Genomic DNA, 19103 nt, shown 5'->3' on the forward strand with positions numbered 1-19103 from the left:
AAGATCTACCAAGCAAATGGAAAACAAAAAAAGCAGGGGTTGCAATCCTAGTCTCTGATCAAACAGACTTTAAACCAACTAAGACCAAAAGAGACAAACAAGGCCATTATATAATTGTAAAGGGATCAATTCGACAAGAAGCGCTAACTATCCTAAATATATATGCACCCAACAGAGGAGCACCCAGATTCATAAAGTAAGTCCTTAGAGACCTACAAAGAGATGTACACTCCCACACAAAAATAATGGGAGACTTTAACATCTCACTGTCAACATTAGACAGATCAATGAGACAGAAAGTTAACAAGGATATCCAGGAATTGAACTCAGCTCTGCACCAAGCAGACCTAATAGACATCTACAGAACTCTCCACCCCAAATCAACAGAATATACATTCTTCTCAGCACCACATCGCACTTATACCAAAATTGACCACATAGTTGGAAGTAAAGCACTCCTCAGAAAATGTAAAAGAACAGAAATTATAACAAACTGTCTCTCAGACCACAGTGCAATCAAACTGGAATTGAGGATTAAGAAACTCACTCAAAACTGCTCAACTACATGGAAACTAAACAATGTGCTCCTGAATGACTATTGGGTACATAACAAAATGAAGGCAGAAATAAAGATGTTCTTTGAAACCAATAAGAACAAAGACAAAACATACCAGAATCTCTGGGACACTTTTAAAGCAATCTGTAGAGGGAAAATTATATCACTAAATACCAACAAGAGGAAGCAGGAAAGATCTAAAATTGACACCCTAACATCATAATTAAAAGAACTAGAGAAGCAAGAGCAAACACATTCAAAAGCTAGCAGACGGCAAGAAATAACTAAGATCAGAGCAGAACTGAAGGAGATAGAGACACAAAAAACCCTTCAAAATATCAATGAATCCAGGAGTTGGTTTTTTGAAAGGATCAACAAAATTGATAGACAACTAGCAAGACTAATAAAGAGAAAAGAAAGAATCAAATAGACACAATAAAAAATTATAAAGGGGGTATCACCACCGATCCCACAGAAATACAAACTACCATCAGAGAATACTACAAACACCTCTACGCAAATAAACTAGAAAATCTAGAAGAAATGGATAAATTCCTGGACACATACACCCTCCCAAGACTAAACCAGGAAGAAGTTGAATCCCTGAATAGACCAACAACAGGCTCTGAAATTGAGGCAATAATTAATAGCCTACCAATCAAAAAAAAAAATCCAAGACCAGACAGATTCACAGCCGAATTCTACCAGAGGTACAAAGAGGAGCTGGTACCATTCCTTCTGAAAGTATTCCAACCAATATAAAAAGAGGGAATCCTCCCTAACTCATTTTATGAGGCCAGCATCATCCTGATACCAAAGCCTGGCAGAGACACAACAAAAAAAGAGAATTTTAGACCAATATCCCTGATGAACATCAATGCAAAAATCCTCAATAAAATACTGGCAAACTGAATCCAGCAGCACATCAAAAAGCTTATCCACCATGATCAAGTGGGCTTCATCCCTGGGATGCAAGGCTGGTTCAACATATGCAAATCAATACATGTAATCCATCATATAAACAGAACCAAAGATAAAAACCACATGATTATCTCAATAGATGCAGAAAAGGTCTTCAACAAAATTCAACAGCCCTTCATCCTAAAAACTCTCAATAAACTAGGTATTGACGGGACGTACATCAAAATAATAAGAGCTGTTTATGACAAACCCACAGCCAATATCATACTGAATGGGAAAAAACTGGAAGCATTCCCTTGGAAAACTGGCATAAGACAGGGATGCCCTCTCTCACCACTCCTATTCAATGAAGTGTTGGAAGTTCTGGCCATGGCAATCAGGGAGGAGGAAGAAATAAAGGGTATTCAATTAGGAAAAGAGGAAGTCAAATTGTCCCTGTTTGCAGATGACATGATTATATATTTAGAAAACCCCATCGTCTCAGCCCAAAATCTCCTTAAGCTGATAAGTAACTTCAGCAAAGTCTCAGGATACAAAATCAATGTGCAAAAATCACAAGCATTCCTATACACCAATAACAGACAAACAGAGAGCCAAATCATGAGTGAACTCCCATTCGCAATTGCTTCAAAGAGAATAAAATACCTAGGAATCCAACTTATAAGGGGTGTGAAGGACCTCTTCAAGGTTTGACTACAAACCACTATTCAATGAAATAAAAGAGGACACAAACAAATGGAAGAACATTCCATGCTCATAGATAGGAAGAATCAATATCGTGAAAATGGCCATACTGCCCAAAGTAATTCATAGATTCAATGCTATCCCCATCAATCTACCAATGACTTTCTTCACAGAATTGGAAAAAACTACTTTAAAGTTTATATGGAACCAAAAAAGAGCCCACATTGCCAAGACAATCCTAAGCCAAAAGAACAAAGCTGGAGACATCACGCTACCTGACTTCAAACTATACTACAAGGCTACAGTATTCAAAACAGCATGGTACTGGTACCAAAACAGAGATACAGACCAATGGTACAGAACAGGGCCCTCAGAAATAATACCACACATCTACAACCATCTGATCTTTGACAAACCTGACAAAAACAAGAAATAGGGAAAGGATTCCCTATTTAATAAATGGTGCTGGGAAAACTGGCTAGCCATATGTAGAAAGCTGAAACTGGATCCCTTCCTTACATCTTATACAAAAATTAATTCAAGATGGATTAAAGACTTAAATATTAGACCTAAAACCATAAAAACCCTAGAAGAAAACCTAGGCAATACCATTCAGGACATAGGCATGGGCAAGGACTTCATGACTAAAACACCAAAAGCAATGGCAACAAAAGCCAAAATTGACAAAGGAGATCTAATTAAACTAAAGAGCTTCTGCATAGCAAAAGAAACTACCATCAGAGTGAACAGGCAACCTACAGAATGGGAGAACATTTTTACAATCTACCCGTCTGACAAAGGGCTAATATCCAGAATCTACAAAGAACTTAAACAAATTTACAAGAAAAAAATCAAACAACCCCATCAAAAAGGGGGCAAAAGATAGGAACAGACACTTCTCAAAAGAAGACATTTATGCAGCCAACAGACACATGAAAAAATGCTCATCATCACTGGTCATCAGAGAAATGCAAATCAAAACCACAATGAGATACCATCTCAAACCAGTTAGAATGGCAATCATTAAAAAGTCAGGAAACAACAGGTGCTGGAGAGGATGTGGAGAAATAGGAACACTTTTACACTGTTGGTGGGACTGTAAACTAGTTCAACCATTGTGGAAGACAGTGTGGCGATTCCTCAAGGATCTACAACTAGATATACCATTTGACCCAGCCATCCCATTAATGGGTATATACCCAAAGATTATAAATCATGCTGCTATAAAGACACATGCCCACATTGCGGCACTATTCACAATAGCAAAGACTTGGAGCCAACCCAAATGTCCATCAATGATAGTCTGGATTAAGAAAATGTGGTGGCACATATACACCATGGAATACTATGCAGCCATAAAAAAGGATGAGTTCATGTCCTTTGCAGGGACATGGATGAAGCTGGAAACCATCATTCTGAGCAAACTATAGCAAGGACAGAAAACCAAACACCATATGTTCTCACTCATAGGTGGGAATTGGACAGTGAGAACACTTGGACACAGGGTGGGGAACATCACACACCAGGGCCTGTCGTGGGGTGGAGGGAAGGGGGAGGGATAGCATTAGGAGATATACCTAATGTAAAATACAAGTTAATGGGTACAGCACACCAACATGGCACATGTATACCTATGTAACAAGCCTGCACATTGTGCACATGTACCCTAGAACTTAAAGTATAAAAAAAAAATGCTTGCTGACTCCCACTTATAACACAGATTTCACCACAACTTGTAAAATAACACAATCTCATGTTAAACAATTAATAAACCCAATAAGCTTTCCTGCCTTTCTGTCCTTGGGGTCCCAAATCATCTGACAAGATAGACCTGTCAAATTGTTTGATAGTGTGAAAAAAATCAAAAGCATTTTAATAAGCTTTAGGATACTCAAAAATTTAACATGAAATGCACACAAAGACAATGGCTGGTCTCGTGGCTCTTTCTCCTTGTCTAGCCTCAATTGTGAGTGGATATAGCCAAAAACATCTGATAGGGATGGGGATGCAAAACAATATGCAAAATCCAACTCTCTATAACTACCTGATAGCTTAGGTGTGGTACTTGCATAATAAAGCATTGGCTCACATAATTATTGAAGCTGACAAGTCCCAACATCTGCTGCCAGCTGAAAGCTGGCAGGCTTGAGACCCAAAAAGACTGATGTTTCAGCTCAAGTCCAAAGGCATGAAAAGACCACTGTTCCAGCTCAAGTAGTCAGGTAGGAGCTCCCTCTTACTCAGCCTTTTTGTTCTATTGAGGTCTTCAGTTGACAGGCTGAAGCCCACCCACACCAGGGAGGGCCACTTGCTTTACTCAGTCTACCAATTCAAATGCTCATCTCAGCCAGAAACTCCCTCACTGAGACACCCAGAATTGAGTCTGACCAAATATCTGGGCACCCTGTGGTACAGTTAAATTGATACATAAAATGAATAATCACAGTAGGTAGGTAGCTTTGAATCTTATTTTCTATCAAGTATCAAGGATCAAGCATATACCAATAATATTTACAAAGTTTTTTTATTGTTGCAGCATAGATGGATTAAAAATTAGGATTTTGAAAAACTGTTTATATAAAGTATCTAAGGGAGAAATTGTACACTCTAAAATACTAGAATTCTATGTTAGAATTAGTACCTCCGAAGTTACATACACTAATATATAAACAAGTTTATATATGACAAAGGCTAAAATTTACCCAGGGCTCTTAAAAATAATGGGTTATATGCTAGATTACATCCTTTTCTTGAAGCCATCATAAAGTAGACCATATCAAAAACTCTCATTAGTATGAGTAGAGTTTATATTTACCAATACATACTTTTTCCCTCAACTAACACTCCAACATTTCTTACAACAGTAAAGGCCTGGATACAGCAACAATGTAGATCATCTTACTTTACTCCTTTACTCCAAAAACCCAATAGGAATGTATGTTTTAATCTTGCAAAATACCAATACTAGACCATTTATTAAATATATGCTCCTAATATTCACCTTCTTACATTTTTACTAAACCTAATATTTCTTCACCTTTGAAAACTTTAGAGATAACAAAGTATTATGATTATAGAAATTAATCATTTATAGACAATTTACTATAAATCTTACTTTATTTTAAAATTCTGTTGTAAACCTCACCCTTTATAAAAGGCAAGAAAAGTGTTTTTACACAATTACAAAGATTTCTCCTGTTTTTCAAATCCAGCAGAGTAAACACAAGTTAAGAAATTCTACTTCCAAAGGCCTGCTGACATTACTGATTATTGTCTTGCATTAACAAGGAAATACCTATTAGAGCAGCCTACTAAGACCAACAACAAATAGCTGGAGGGGAGGTACTTAATGGAAACAGTAACTTTTTAAAGACCCTATGACTTATCCCTGTTTGACACCAAAAAGAAATAAAAGATAATGTATCATATCTATATTTCTGGGAGATTAGTGTTTCAACTTGAAATTTCAGTGGGTAGTTCTGATAGACTATTAGGAAGTTCTGTGAGGAGATTTTAGTGGCCTCAAAGAATTGCTTTGTAGCATATTGAAACCTGTTAAGCACCTTCTGAATATGAATGTTCATTTTCTAACTCTTTTCTCGAATTTTAAGTTAGAAATGGATGACTTCTTCATAAGGATCATGCACTTGCTGAATGTTTTAATATCTGAATTTAGCAAAACCCAAAACACATTTGGCCAAAGCTGATTTTAAGTCATTTCTCAAATTTTATACATAGGCATAATTCAAAAGCAATTTATTTCATGTGTTGCTTCTGATTCATTTACATTTCACTTTTCTCATAAAAAGTTTATTTTATAAGAGTTTAGTTGTTGTCCAAAATACCAAAATACCTTATGAAATTTCGTTTTATAACATTTTGAAACACTCTTATTTTGAAGAGAGAAAGTTACTATAAAAACCTGTGCCTCCAAATTGGTAATTTGGTTTAAACTGACTCTACTCTAAGCAAAATATTTCCATACTCTCAATTATCTTTTCCTTAACATTTCTTATAACTATAGGGCCAGATATAGCTACAATGTAACTAAAAGATCTATATCACAATCACTGTAGCATTTACAAAATTATGTTCTGTGGAACACTAGTGTGTCAAGGGATTTTAAGAGGTATTCATGGGCAGAAAGTGGTTAGGGGTGGTAGTCAAATAAGAGTGGAAAATGCTGAGTTAAAATCAAACAGGATTGTTCACTACAAGGTTTCTCAGAACTTGTATGTCCAAAATGAATACTCAAGAGCAAGATACAGGCCAGGTGCAGTGGCTCACGCCTGTAATCCCAGTACTTCGGGAGGGATCGCTTGAGCAGGGGAGTTTCAGGGGCAGTGAGCTATGATTGCACCACTGCATTCTCTCCTGGGCAACACAGCAAGAATCTGCTTCAAAAAAAAAAAAAAAAAAAAAAAAACAGAGAGAGAGATAGGAAGCAATGTTTCTCAAACTTATTTAACACTGAAACTCTTAACAAAACTCTTAACTGTTGTAGGTCATTAATATTCTGTAAAAACAATAATCTGATCAATATGATCTCAAACACTAATGAGGTGATTTAATTTACTATCATCCACCTGCCACTGTCATTGAGATAATCTAGTTAACATTTTCAGGAAAGTGATACCCCAGGTATTTTTAAAGTACTCCTAGTTAAGAAAGAATTACTAATAACTCCATTTTAATACAATAGAAACAAGTTGGAAGTCTGAGTTTTGATTAATATAATGATAACCTGAGAGCCATATGGAAAATACTATCTAAGTCTAATTCACCAGGTTTTAGAGTAGGGTTTTTGAAAAAAAAAAAAAAAAAAAGCTGGCAACTATTAAATTTTTGGTGAATTAAAAGTATAATACACAGTCATTTCTTGATTATGACTTTAACATTTATTTCTTGAGACAGGGTCTTCCTCTGTCACCCAGGCTGGAGTGCAGCAGTGCCATCATGGTTCACTGCAACCTCAACCTCCTGGGCTCAAGTGATCCTCCCACCTCAGCCTCCCAAGTAGCTGGGACCACAAGCATGTACCACCACGCCTGGCTTATTTTTGTATTTTTTGTAGAGGGGGGGTTCTGCCATGTTACCTAGACTGGTCTCCAACTCCTGAGGTCAAGTGATCTGTCCACCTTGGCCTCCCAAAGTACTCGGATTATAGATGTGAACAACTGCACCTGGCCTGACTATAACATATTTAATTCTATATTGGTTTTTCCCTACCACTGAGCACATTTCATCTCTCCTTTTTTCCCTACCAAGCACCTGGCATATGTTCAGTAAATAAAAAGTAATTTAAGTATTAGCGTAATCAAGACATAATTTTGACATTGTCAAGCATGCTTGAGGGCAGTGGGCCCTCTGCTTTGCTTACAGCTGAGGCTTCTGAAGGCAAGGACCTCACGGACATGTATTTACATAATTGTAAGGTCATTCTACTGTGCTATAAAGTCACACAATACATTCCAAAGACCACTGGAAATTAATTTAGAATTATCTAATGTTTTATACCATGCATACTATTTCCTGCCTTCAATTATAAAGATAACTGAGAACAGTCTCTATTAAGAAATACACTATGTTTTAAAAACAATAAATTATACTATAATGTGAAATACTATAACTTTGTTAAAATTCATATTTTTAGCAGAAGTACAAAAAAAAACACTGTTACTCTTATGGAACATTAACAAAAATCTTAAACAGTTTGACAAGGACTTTCATTTTCACCTATAAAGGATTAACTATGAGAACTGCCTTCCAATCATAAATAACAGAAAACTGAATAAAATATATGAAACAATAGTTTTCAGACACTGGATAATAGAAGGAAAACAAACTAGCTGAGCCCTCTGATTGCCCCAGCTTATCACCCAGAAGCATTTTCCAGACTGCAGAGCAGAATCCACACAGAGCCCAGCAGTCACAGTGAGCTCAGGAGACAGAGACATGGATCTGGGTAAGCTGATACAACTAGAATTTGTGGAGATTATCAGACAGGAGGTAGCTAAATGGAAAGAGAACTCTGAAGATCTTACAGAAGGTCTTCTGTAATCTATGGCTGACTATTCATCTGCATATGCATAAAGTGAAACTCCTCAAGGCTGAGGAAAGAAACATCAGGAAGCAGTATACCAAATAATTTCCACAGTTCACATAGAGCTAAGAATTAATTCTCATTTGCCAGAGTGGAGAGGCCATATAGTACAGGAGGTATTTGTAGAGTTAGCAGTAAGGCTAACTTAGCCATAGGCTAAAGGCTGTTCTGGAACCCTTTAACAAAGCAAACAATGAAAGGATAAAACTGACCCCAAGTAATTTAAATGCATGCCAAAAAAAGTCCCACACACCTTAAAGGAATAAAACAAAACCCAGTACGCAACAACATAAAATTCATAATATCCAGCATCTGTTCAAAAAAAAATTACAAAGCAAGAAATATTACCCATAATCCAAAGAAAACACAATCAATAGAAACCTAGAGAAAAAGAAATAAATAGAATGACAAGAGAAGTAGAACTGGCAGAAAAGGACACTAAAACAACTATCATAAATATGTTCAAGAATGCAGTAGAAAACATGAACATGTTGAAGAAATAATGAAGATATTTTTAAAGATCTACTAGAAGTGAGAATTATAAAATATAAAATGAAAATTACATTGGATCATATAAACAACAGAATAAAAGTGGCAGAATACAAGATCAGTGAACTTAAATACATCAAAATAGAAGCTACCCAGAACAAAACACAAGTAGAAAAAGACCCCCCAAAATAGTCTCAGGTACCTGTACGACCATATCATGCAGACTAATATATATGTAACTGGAGTCCCAGAAAGAAAAGGACAAAGAAAAAAATATTTGAAAAAAATCACCATGGATTTTCTAAATTCTGTAAAAATAAATAAATAACAGATGCAAATCAGCTCAAGAAATTCTGAGCAGAATAAACCTGAAAAAAATCCACATATAATAACATCATAACATAATAATAATATCATAACATCATACCAAACCACAACATAATCAAACTTCTGGAAATGAGAAATAAAGAGAATATCTTAAAAGCAGCCAGAGAGCAGGAAAAAAAGACACATTTTGTGCAGAAGAATAAAATCAAGAATGATAGAAAACTTCTCATCAAAAACTAGGTAAGTCAAAAGACAATGGAGTGACATCTTTAAAGTACTGAAACAAAAAACAAATAAAAAAACACACGTTCTATACAGGAAAAAATATATCTTTTAAAAAATGAGGGCAAAATACAGACCTTTTCCAGACAGACAAATACTGAGAGAAATTGATGCTATCAGACTGGCACTACAAGAAATGTTAAAGTTCATCAGCAAGGATAAAAATTAAACCAGAAAGAAATATAACTCTACACAAAAAAGAAAAAAGTACCAGAAATGGTAAATATGTGAGTAAAAATAAATGTTTTCCTCATATTTTAATCTTTTTAAAAGATAAAGGTACTGGGTGCAGTGGCTCATGCCTATAATCTCAGCACTTTGAGAGGTCGAGGCAGGATTGCTTGAGCCCAGGAGTTTGAGACAAGCCTGGGCAATATGGCAAGACCTCATCCCTACTGAAAATCAGTATTTAAAAAATTAGCTAGGCATTGTGGCATGTGACTGTAGTCCCAGCTACTCAGGAGCCTGAGGTAGAAGGATCCCTTGAACCCAGGAGGTGGAGGCTGTAGTGAGACATGATTGCACCACTGCACTTCACTCCACTCCAGCCTGGCAACAGAGGGAAACCCTGTCTCATAAAAAGAAGATAAAATAAAAGAAAAAGATAAAGGAGATTACCCAAGGCAAAAGCAATTACAAGGTATTGTAAGCTTTTGTGATTTAATAAAAATATATTTAGTAAGCTTTTGTGATATAAAGAAATATATTTAGTCTCTGCCCTCAGTTCCTGAGACAGAACTCCTAAAACCTTTGCAGCTAGGAGTACTAGAAAAAACTTTTGATCTAATACTTGGTCTTTTACCCCAGTTTCTGCCACAGACCTCCTAAAACCTTTGTAATTTCCTAAGTGATAGTAGCATCTTTTGCTCTAACGAGGTAACTCTTGGCGGGCTCCTGAATAGCCTCAGAATGGGGACTGGTTGCCAGGGGAGCCAACCATGTGAATAGAAGGTTGGAACTTTTAGCTCTACCCTCAGATCTCCGGGGATGGGGAAAGGGGTTAAAAGTTGAGTTGATCACCAATGGCCAATGACTTAATCAATCATGCCTACATGATGAAACCTCCATAACAATCCCTGAAGTACAGGGTTCAGAGAGCTTCTGCACTGCTGAACACAGAAGTGCCTGGAGGGTGGTGCACCCTGAGAGGCCATGGAAGCTCTATGCCTCTTCCCACACACCTTGTCCTACACATCTCTTCCAACTGGCTGTTTATCTATATCCTTTGTAATATCCTCTATAATAAATATACCCATTTACTGAAGTAGAGTGTTTCCCTGAGTTTTGTAAGGCACTCCAACAAATTAATGAACCCAAGGATGGGGTCATGAGAACCACTGATTTACAGCTGGTTAGTCAAAAGTGCAAGTCACAACCTGGACTTGTGGCTGGCATCTGAAGTGAAGTGAGGTCTTGTGGTTCTGCCTCTTAACCTGTGACAATCCCCACACACAGTTTGATGACCACAAGTGAAATATTCAGCATTCTGTTAAATATATGAGAGGAGGAAAAAAAGTTTTATCTTTTTCTTTTAAAGATTCACAAAATATGAAGAAGTAAAATGTACGACACTAGCAACATTGTAAGATTCTTCCCCATATGTAAAGTTGTATGATATTATGTAAAGATAGACTGTGATAAGTTAAAGATGTGTGTTTTAAACCCCAGAGCAATCACTAGTAAATTAAAACAAAGAGGTATATGGTTAATAAGTCAACAGAAGAGAAGATGGGACAAATAGGAAAAAAAAGCAAGATAATAAATTTAAACTCAACCATACCAATAACAACATTAGAGACTGCCAGATCGGATTTAAAATGAAGGAAAAACAAAAAGGAATAGAGAAACTTACTTTAAACATAAAGACACAAATAGGTTAAAAGTAAAAAGTGCAAATAGATATACCATATAAATACGAATTAGAAGAAAGTTGGAGAGTATGTATTAATATCAGATGAGGTAGACTTCAGATCAAAGAATATTACTAGGGATCATATTAAGTAACACACACATATACAAACACAAAGGATCATCTCAAAAGACATAGAAAAAGCATTTTTTCTGGAAATGTAGTTTTAACTTATGAAAAAAATCAATGTAAAATTTACCATGTTAACTACACACACACGCACACACACACACACACACACACCTGAAAAGATGCAGAGAAAGCATCTGACAAAATCCAACACCTATTCATAATAAACCCTGAACAAACTAGGAATATAAAGGAACTTCCTCAAACTAACATTGAGGAACTGATGTCCTACATATGGAAAAAAGACTGAATGCTATCACCCTAAGACTAGGAACTAAGCAAGGACATATCCTCTAGCCACTTCTATTCAACATTGTACTGGAAATCCTAGAGAAAAAAATAATAACAGGCACACAGATTGGAAAGGAAATAATAAAACTGTCTTTTTGATAGCTGGCATGATTATTTATAATTATTTCAATGTAAGGAATCTACAAAAAAGTAAAACAGAAAACAACAACCTACCAAACTAATAAATGAGTTTGGCAAGGTCATATGATTCAAAGTCAATGTACAAAAATCAATTGTATTGCCATGTTCTAAGAACAAATAACTGGAAATTATAATTCAAAAGTCAATGCAATTTACAATAGCAACCAAAAAACTGGAAATAATTGGGAATAAATTTAACAAACTATGTAAAAGATCTGTACAATGAAAACTATAAAATGTTGCTGACAAACATTAAAGACATCCCACATACATGAAGAGATGTACTATGTTTATGGATCAGAAGATCCCATACTATTTAAAGATGTTAATTATCCTCAAGTTAATCTATAGATTTGATACCATTCCAGTAAAAATCCTAGTAAGCCTTTTTGTAGAAACTGGCATGCTTATTCTAAAATTTAAATGAAAATACAAAATAACTAGTACAACTCAAATAATTTTTTACATTTTTAATTTTTTTTTTTTTTAATAGAGAAAGAAAAGTGGGCCCAGGGAACCGGCGTTCAGCATATGGAGGACCCACGCCGGCACCGGTCTCTGAGTTCCCTCAGTATTTATTCATTAGTATCTCTACCATATCGGAGAGGGGGACAACAGGGAGACAATGGAGAGTGGCAGGACAACAGGGTAATAGTGGGGAGAGGGTCAGCAGGAAAACGTGAACAAACATCTCTACATCATAAACAAGGTAAAGAAAAAGGTGCTGTGCTTTTAATGTGCACATACATAAACATCTCAATGCTTTAAAGAGCACTATTGCCTATTGCCGCCAGCATGTCTCACCTCCAGCCCTAAGGCGGTTTTCTCCTATCTCCAGTAGATGGAATATACAATCGGGTTTTACACCCAGACATTCTATTGCCCAGGGACGAGCAGGAGACAGATGCCTTCCTCTTATCTCAACTGCAAAGAGGCCTTCCTCTTTTACTAATCCTCCTCAGCACAGACCCTTTACGGGTGTCGGGCTGGGGAACGGTCAGGTCTTTCCCTTCCCACGAGGCCATATTTCAGATTACCACATGGGGAGAAACCTTGGACAATACCTGGCTTTCCTAGGCAGAGGTCCCTGCAGCCTTCCACAGTGTTTTGTGTCCCCGGGTACTTGAGATTAGGGAGTGGTGATGACTTTTAACAAGCATGCTGCCTTCAAGCATTTGTTTAACAAAGCACATCCTGCATAGCCCTAAATCCACTAAACCTTGAGTCGTCACAGCACGTGTTTCTGCCAGCACAGGGTTAAGGGTAGGGTTACAGATTAACAGCATCTCGAGGCAAAATAATTTTTCTTAGTACAGAACAAAATGGAGTCTCTTATGTCTACTTCTTTCTACATAGACACAGTAACAGTCTGATCTCTCTTTCTCTTCCCCACATTTCCCCCTTTTCTTTTTGACAAAACCACCATTGTCATCATGGCTTGTCCTCGATGGTCGCTGTCTCTTTGGAGCTGCTAGGTACACCTGCACACACCGTTGATACAATCATCAAAGCTGCAAACAGCATGTTCTCTGAAGTTTGTGTCACCTTTGTGTTCTCTAGGCTTTTTTTTTTTAGCTAACTCTGTCAGCTTCTTTAATTGTGCCCAAGTCGGTGGCTCTGCCTTCTTGGTGGATGGCAACTTCATCTGTTCTGACATCACCATTCTATTCATCTTGTGAGTCGATGGTGCTCAACTGCGGTGTCTCCATCTCCATGGAGGTGCTTTTCTTTGCATCTCTGATGGGTTCATTGTACAACTTCAAATATCGCAAGGCTGACTGTAGACATACTCGGGAATCTCTCGTTAACTTGTCCTCAGTGACGACGCTTGAGCGTACCTTCACCCTAGAGAAAAGCACCCACGTTGGGCACCAAATGAAGGGGTGGCCAGCCCCTCCACACCTGTGGGCATTTCTCATCAGGTGAAATGAAAGACATGAGGAAAGAAAGAGACACAAAGTATAGAGAAAGAAAAGTGGGCCCAGGGGACCGGCGCTCAGCATACAGAGGACCCGCGCTGGCCACATTTTTAATTTTTAAAGGAATTTTTCAAATTTCAAAATAAATTTTGAGAAAAAAATTGGAGGACTTAAAGCCATCTGATTTCAGTACTTAAACTATCATAACCAATATGATGTGATACTGGCTTAAAGAAATACCTAAGTTAATGGTACAGAATAGCACTGAAAATACACTTGTGATCAACTGATTTTCAACAAATGTACAAATGCACAATTAGTAGGGAAAAAGTGGTGTCTTTAAAAAAGAGAACAAGAAGAACTAGACATCCACCTTTTATAGTGTAAGATAAGCATATAATGAAATTATATAAAAATTCATTCAAAATGTATCATAGATTTAAATATAAGAGTAGAAAGTATAAAACTCCCAGAAGAAAATATATGAGGAAATATTTGTGACTTAGAGTTAAATTCTAATAAGACACAAAAGCCATAAAACAAAAAACCAAAAATAAGAAAACTGCCTTTCACTAAAGTAAAAACTTTTGTTTTTCAAAAAACCGTTAAGAAAACAAAAGCACAGGCCGGGCGCAGTGGCTCATGCCTGTAATCCCAGTACTTTGGGAGGCCGAGGAGAGTGGATCACTTGAGGTCAGGAGTTTGAGACCAGCCTGGCCAACATGGTGAAACCCCATCTCTACTAAAAATACAAAAAAATTAGCTGGGTATGGTGGCGCATACCTGTAATCCCAGCTACTCGGGAGGCTGAGACAAGAGAATCGCTTGAACACAGGAGGCAAAGGTTGCAGTGAGCCGAGATCACACCATTGCACTCCAGCCTGAGCGACAGAGTGAGACTTCATCTCAAAAAAGAAAAAAAAAGAAAATAAAAAGGCACACCACAGAGTGGGAGAAAATATTTGCAAAAGATGTATCTGATAAATGACTTCGGACTCGTATCCATAATATATGAGTCCTTACAACTCAAAAATAAGACAATAACTCAATTTTTTAAAATAGACAAGCTTTAAAGCTTATCTATTTTAAATATCTGAAATATTCAGATATTTCAGATAATTCAATATTTGAAATATTCAATATTTGAAATATTCAAATATCTGAAATATTCAGATATTTATCCAAAAAAGAGATATACAAGAAAATAAGCGCATGAAAACATGCTCAATATCATTATTCATTAGAAAAATGCCAATTAAAACTACAATGAGATATAACTAGTCATAATATATCCACTAAAGAGACTACAATTAAAATATTAATACCAAATGATAAGACTTTGAGGCAACTGAACTTTCATACATCGCTGGTAGAAATGTGGCATATACAACCATTAATAAAATAGTTTGTTTATTTAAAATTGGTGAACTTTATTTTATGTAATTTATACCTCAGTAAAGCTGAGTTTTAGAAGTTGACTTGACAAAACATTTTTAAATTAGTAAAATAAAATCCTGATAATACCTTGTAATAGTTTAACATTTTTTAAATACTAGCCAATCTTTTCCCCTAATTGTCCTTAGATTCGTCATCCATGCAACCAGCAGAAAGCCTCATACTGTCTCAGAAAAGGAGTGACAGTAGAAAGCAGAAGTAAGGAGTCTTTTTCTTGACCCATGAATTTCAAAATCCTGGGCCTATCTTCTGAGTGGAAAGGACTCAGAACTACACTTATAACAGCCAGGCAGGTGAAAAGGGAATGTGGGAACTGGAGTAAGGAAACCCTACAAGGAGCCACTATGAAGCTCCAGCTGATTCTACCATATGAAAATGCTGCAAGATTGTTTTTTACCCAAAAAGTATCCTGAAAATTCAAATTTTTATGTGAATTTTCCAAAATTTTAAAATACTGTCCAAACAAAATCACTTCTGTGGGTCAAATTCAGTCCATCGATTTGCAATACCTGGCATGGAAGACAGATTTTGGCAAACATCTTTAAAAAAAAAATTTCTCACCCTCCAGACTTGATGAAAACGCCCTGGAATGAGGATAAGAAGATGCAAAGAAACAACTGATATAGACATTATTCTTGCAAGAGAACAGAGAAATCTGTGTCCCATTTCTTAGGTACAGACTCAGGAAGGCAGAAAGATACCACAGAAGAAATGGATGGATAATATGTGGGGCAAAGTATTAGCCTTATAGAGTTTCCCAGACCCCACGCAGCACCGGGAAGGCTTAAACAAATGGCAGTCTCAGGGAGTTCTCCACATTTTAGAGTAGTCTGAGGACCACAGAAAGAATATAATGCAATTAATAGCATGGAAGTTACAGAAAGAGTTGCTTTACCAGATAAAAACTTGTCAATGAGAATGATGAGTCAGCAGCAACCTGTGATGATCAACTACTACAGAAATAAAATGAAGGACAACATTTCTACAGATGCCACCACTCACCACCATGAAAAGATGAAGACAACTAGTACAACCCACTACTCTCACCCAAGAATTATCAGAGCACCAGGAAAGTGAGGCCTCTAATTGACATTAAAATTTCAGCCACCCAAAGGACATGAACAGACACTTATCAGAAGACATACATGCAGCCAACAAACACATGAAAAAAAAATGTTCAACATCACTGATCATTAGAGAAATGAAAATCAAAACCACAGTGAGGTACCATCTCACACCAGTCAGAATGACTATTATTAAAAAGTCAAAAAACAACACATGCTGGTGAGGTTGTGGAGAAAAAGGAACACTTTTACACTGTTGGTGGGAGTGTAAATTAGTTTGACCACTGTGGAAGACAGTGTGGCAATACCTCAAAGACCTAGAGGCAGAACTACCATTCAACCCAGCAGTCCCATTACTGGGTATATACCCAAAGGAATATAAAGCACTCTGTTATAAAGATACATGCATGCATATGTTCATTGCAGCACTTTTCACAATAGCAAAGACATGCAATCAACCCAAATGCCCATCAATGATAGACTGGATAAACAAAATGTGGTACATATACACCATGGAATACTATGCAGCCATAAAAAGGAACGAGATCATGTCCTTTGCAAGACATGGATGGAGCTGGAAGCCATAATCTTCCACAAACTAACAGAGGAACACAAATCCAAATACCACATGTTCTCACTTATAAGTGGGAGCTAAATGATGAACACATGGACACATTGACAGGAACAACACATACTGGGGATTGTCAGAGGGTGGGATATGGGAGGAGGGAGAGCATCAGGAAGAACAGCTAATGGATGCTGAGCTTAATACTGAGATGATGGGATGATCTGTGCAGCAAACCACCATGGCACATGTTTACCTATGTAACAAACCTACCTATTTTGCACATATTCCCCTGAACTTAAAATAAAAGTGGGAAATTAAAAAAAAATTCAGTCACCTGGGAAGAACAGGGGCTCAAAATAGAAACTGAGTTACAAAAAAAATAAGAAAAAGTATAATCCTTGAACATCTGATGTTGTAGAGTGAGATGTAGTTCTACAGACTGCTGTATTACCTTCAAAGCAAAGAGGTTCTCAAAGGAACATGGAAGCATTTTATTTTATTTATTTTTTAGATTAATTATGCCAAATAAATATTGGATTTTTAAATATGCACTACAGATGGGCCACCAAAGCACAACACTTTGAATAACTACTACTTAACGGACTATAGAAGTAGGCTCTTCTGATGACATCTATAATAATTTTACTAGACAAGCTGAGTTACTAAACACAGTTTTTCAGTTTCCCAAACCCATTTGTAGGTAATAAATTATCTATGACAAGTCTAGATGATTAGTAACACTGGCCAAAATGAGTAAAACTTACTCATTCTGCAACTATTTAAACAAGTTCAATAACAATACCACCAAAATCCACTGGTTTGCATTGGGGAAAGTGTTGGTGTGAGGCATTAACAGAGAAAGCAAAGAAATTAGCACAAAATATGTATGTATGTGTATATGTGAAAAATTGTATTTTCTAATTTTTCTAAAATGACCAATGATATGGTTTGGCTGTGTCCCCACCCAAATCTCATCTTGAATTGTAACCCCCACAATTCCCACATGTCATGGGAGGAACCTGGTGGGAGGTGATTGAGTTATGGGGGCAGGTCTTTCCCAAGCTGTTCTTGTGATAGTAAGTCTCACGAGATCTGATGGTTTTTAAAATGGGGAGTTTCGCTGCACAAGCTCTCTTCTCTTGTCCACCACCATGTGAGATGTGCCTTTTACCCTCCACCATGATTGTGAGGTTTCCACAGCCATGTGGAACTGTGAGTCCATTAAACTTGTTTTTCTTTATAAATTATGCAGTCTTTAGTATGTCTTTATTATCAGCATGAAAATAGAATAATATAGTAAATTGTACCAGTAGAGTGGGGTGCTGCTGTAAAGATACCCAAAAATGTGAAGGCAACTTTGGAACTGGGTAACCGGCAGAAGTTGGGACAGTTTGGAGGGTTCAAGAGAAGACAAAAAAATGTGGAAAAGTTTGAAACTTCCTAGAGATTTGTTGAATGGCTCTGACAAAAATGCTGATAATGATATGGACAATGAAATCCAGGCATGGTCTCAGATGGAGATGAGCAACTTGTTGGGAACTGGAGTAAAGGTGACCCTTGCTATATTTTAGCAAAGAGACTGGTGGCATTTAGCCACTGCCACCAGATTTGTAGAACTTTGAACTTGAGGGGGATGATTTAGGGTATCTGGCAGAAGAAATTTCTAAGCAGCAAAACATTCTAAAGGTGACTTCGGTGCTGTTAAAAGCATTCAGTTTTAAAAGGGAAACAGAGCACATAAGTTCAGAAAATTTGCAACCTGATGACATGATAGAAAAGAAAACCCCATTTTCTGAGGAGAAATTCAAGCCAGCTGCAGAAATTTCCATAAATAATGAGGAGCCAAATGTTAATTGCCAAGATAATGGGGAAAATGTCTCCAGGCCATGTCAGAGACCTTTGCGGCAGCCCCACCCATCACAGGCCCAGAGACCTAGGAGGAAAAAATGGTTTCATGGGCCATGCACAGGGCCCCCCTGCTGTATGCCACCTAGGGAATTGGTGCCCTGTGTTCCAGCCACTCTAGCCATGGTTAAAAGGGACCAAGGTATAGCTCAGGCCATGGCTTCAGAGGGTGAAAGCCCTGAGCCTTGGCAACTTCCACATGATGTTGAACCTGTGGGTACACAGAAGTAAAGAACTGAGGTTTGGAAACCTTCACCTAGATTTCAGAGGATGTGTGGAAATGCCCGGATGTCCAGGCAGAAGTTTGCTGTGAGGTGGGGCCCTCATGGAGAACCTCTGCTTGGGCAGTGTGGAAGGGAA

General features: G+C 37.2%; 1 long non-coding RNA gene across 47 annotated transcripts in view, besides 1 other annotated feature; it reads right to left on the reverse strand.

Moving 5' to 3' along the window:
- The window catches only part of NR2F1-AS1 (NR2F1 regulatory antisense RNA 1), a 176234-nt gene that overhangs the window by 34997 nt on the left and 122134 nt on the right, over positions 1-19103 (reverse strand). For 2 of the 47 annotated variants that reach the window (NR_186182.1, NR_186203.1), the window contains one exon: positions 12288-13677. The exons of the other annotated variants lie outside the window; for them this stretch is intronic. This is a non-coding gene — a long non-coding RNA (NR2F1 regulatory antisense RNA 1). Of the gene's footprint in view, positions 1-12287; positions 13678-19103 lie in introns of those variants that run through there. 47 annotated transcript variants of the gene reach the window in all.
- Positions 12367-12868: an enhancer, noted in NCBI's record as "OCT4-NANOG-H3K27ac hESC enhancer chr5:92792425-92792926 (GRCh37/hg19 assembly coordinates)". NCBI's record gives its function as "activates a minimal SCP1, AML or CMV promoter by ChIP-STARR-seq in naive H9 embryonic stem cells {active_cell/tissue: H9 hESC(naive)}" and the evidence as "EXISTENCE:reporter gene assay evidence [ECO:0000049][PMID:30033119]".

Source organism: Homo sapiens, chromosome 5 (genome assembly GCF_000001405.40).
Source record: "Homo sapiens chromosome 5, GRCh38.p14 Primary Assembly".
NCBI classification, from domain to species: Eukaryota; Metazoa; Chordata; class Mammalia; order Primates; family Hominidae; genus Homo; species Homo sapiens.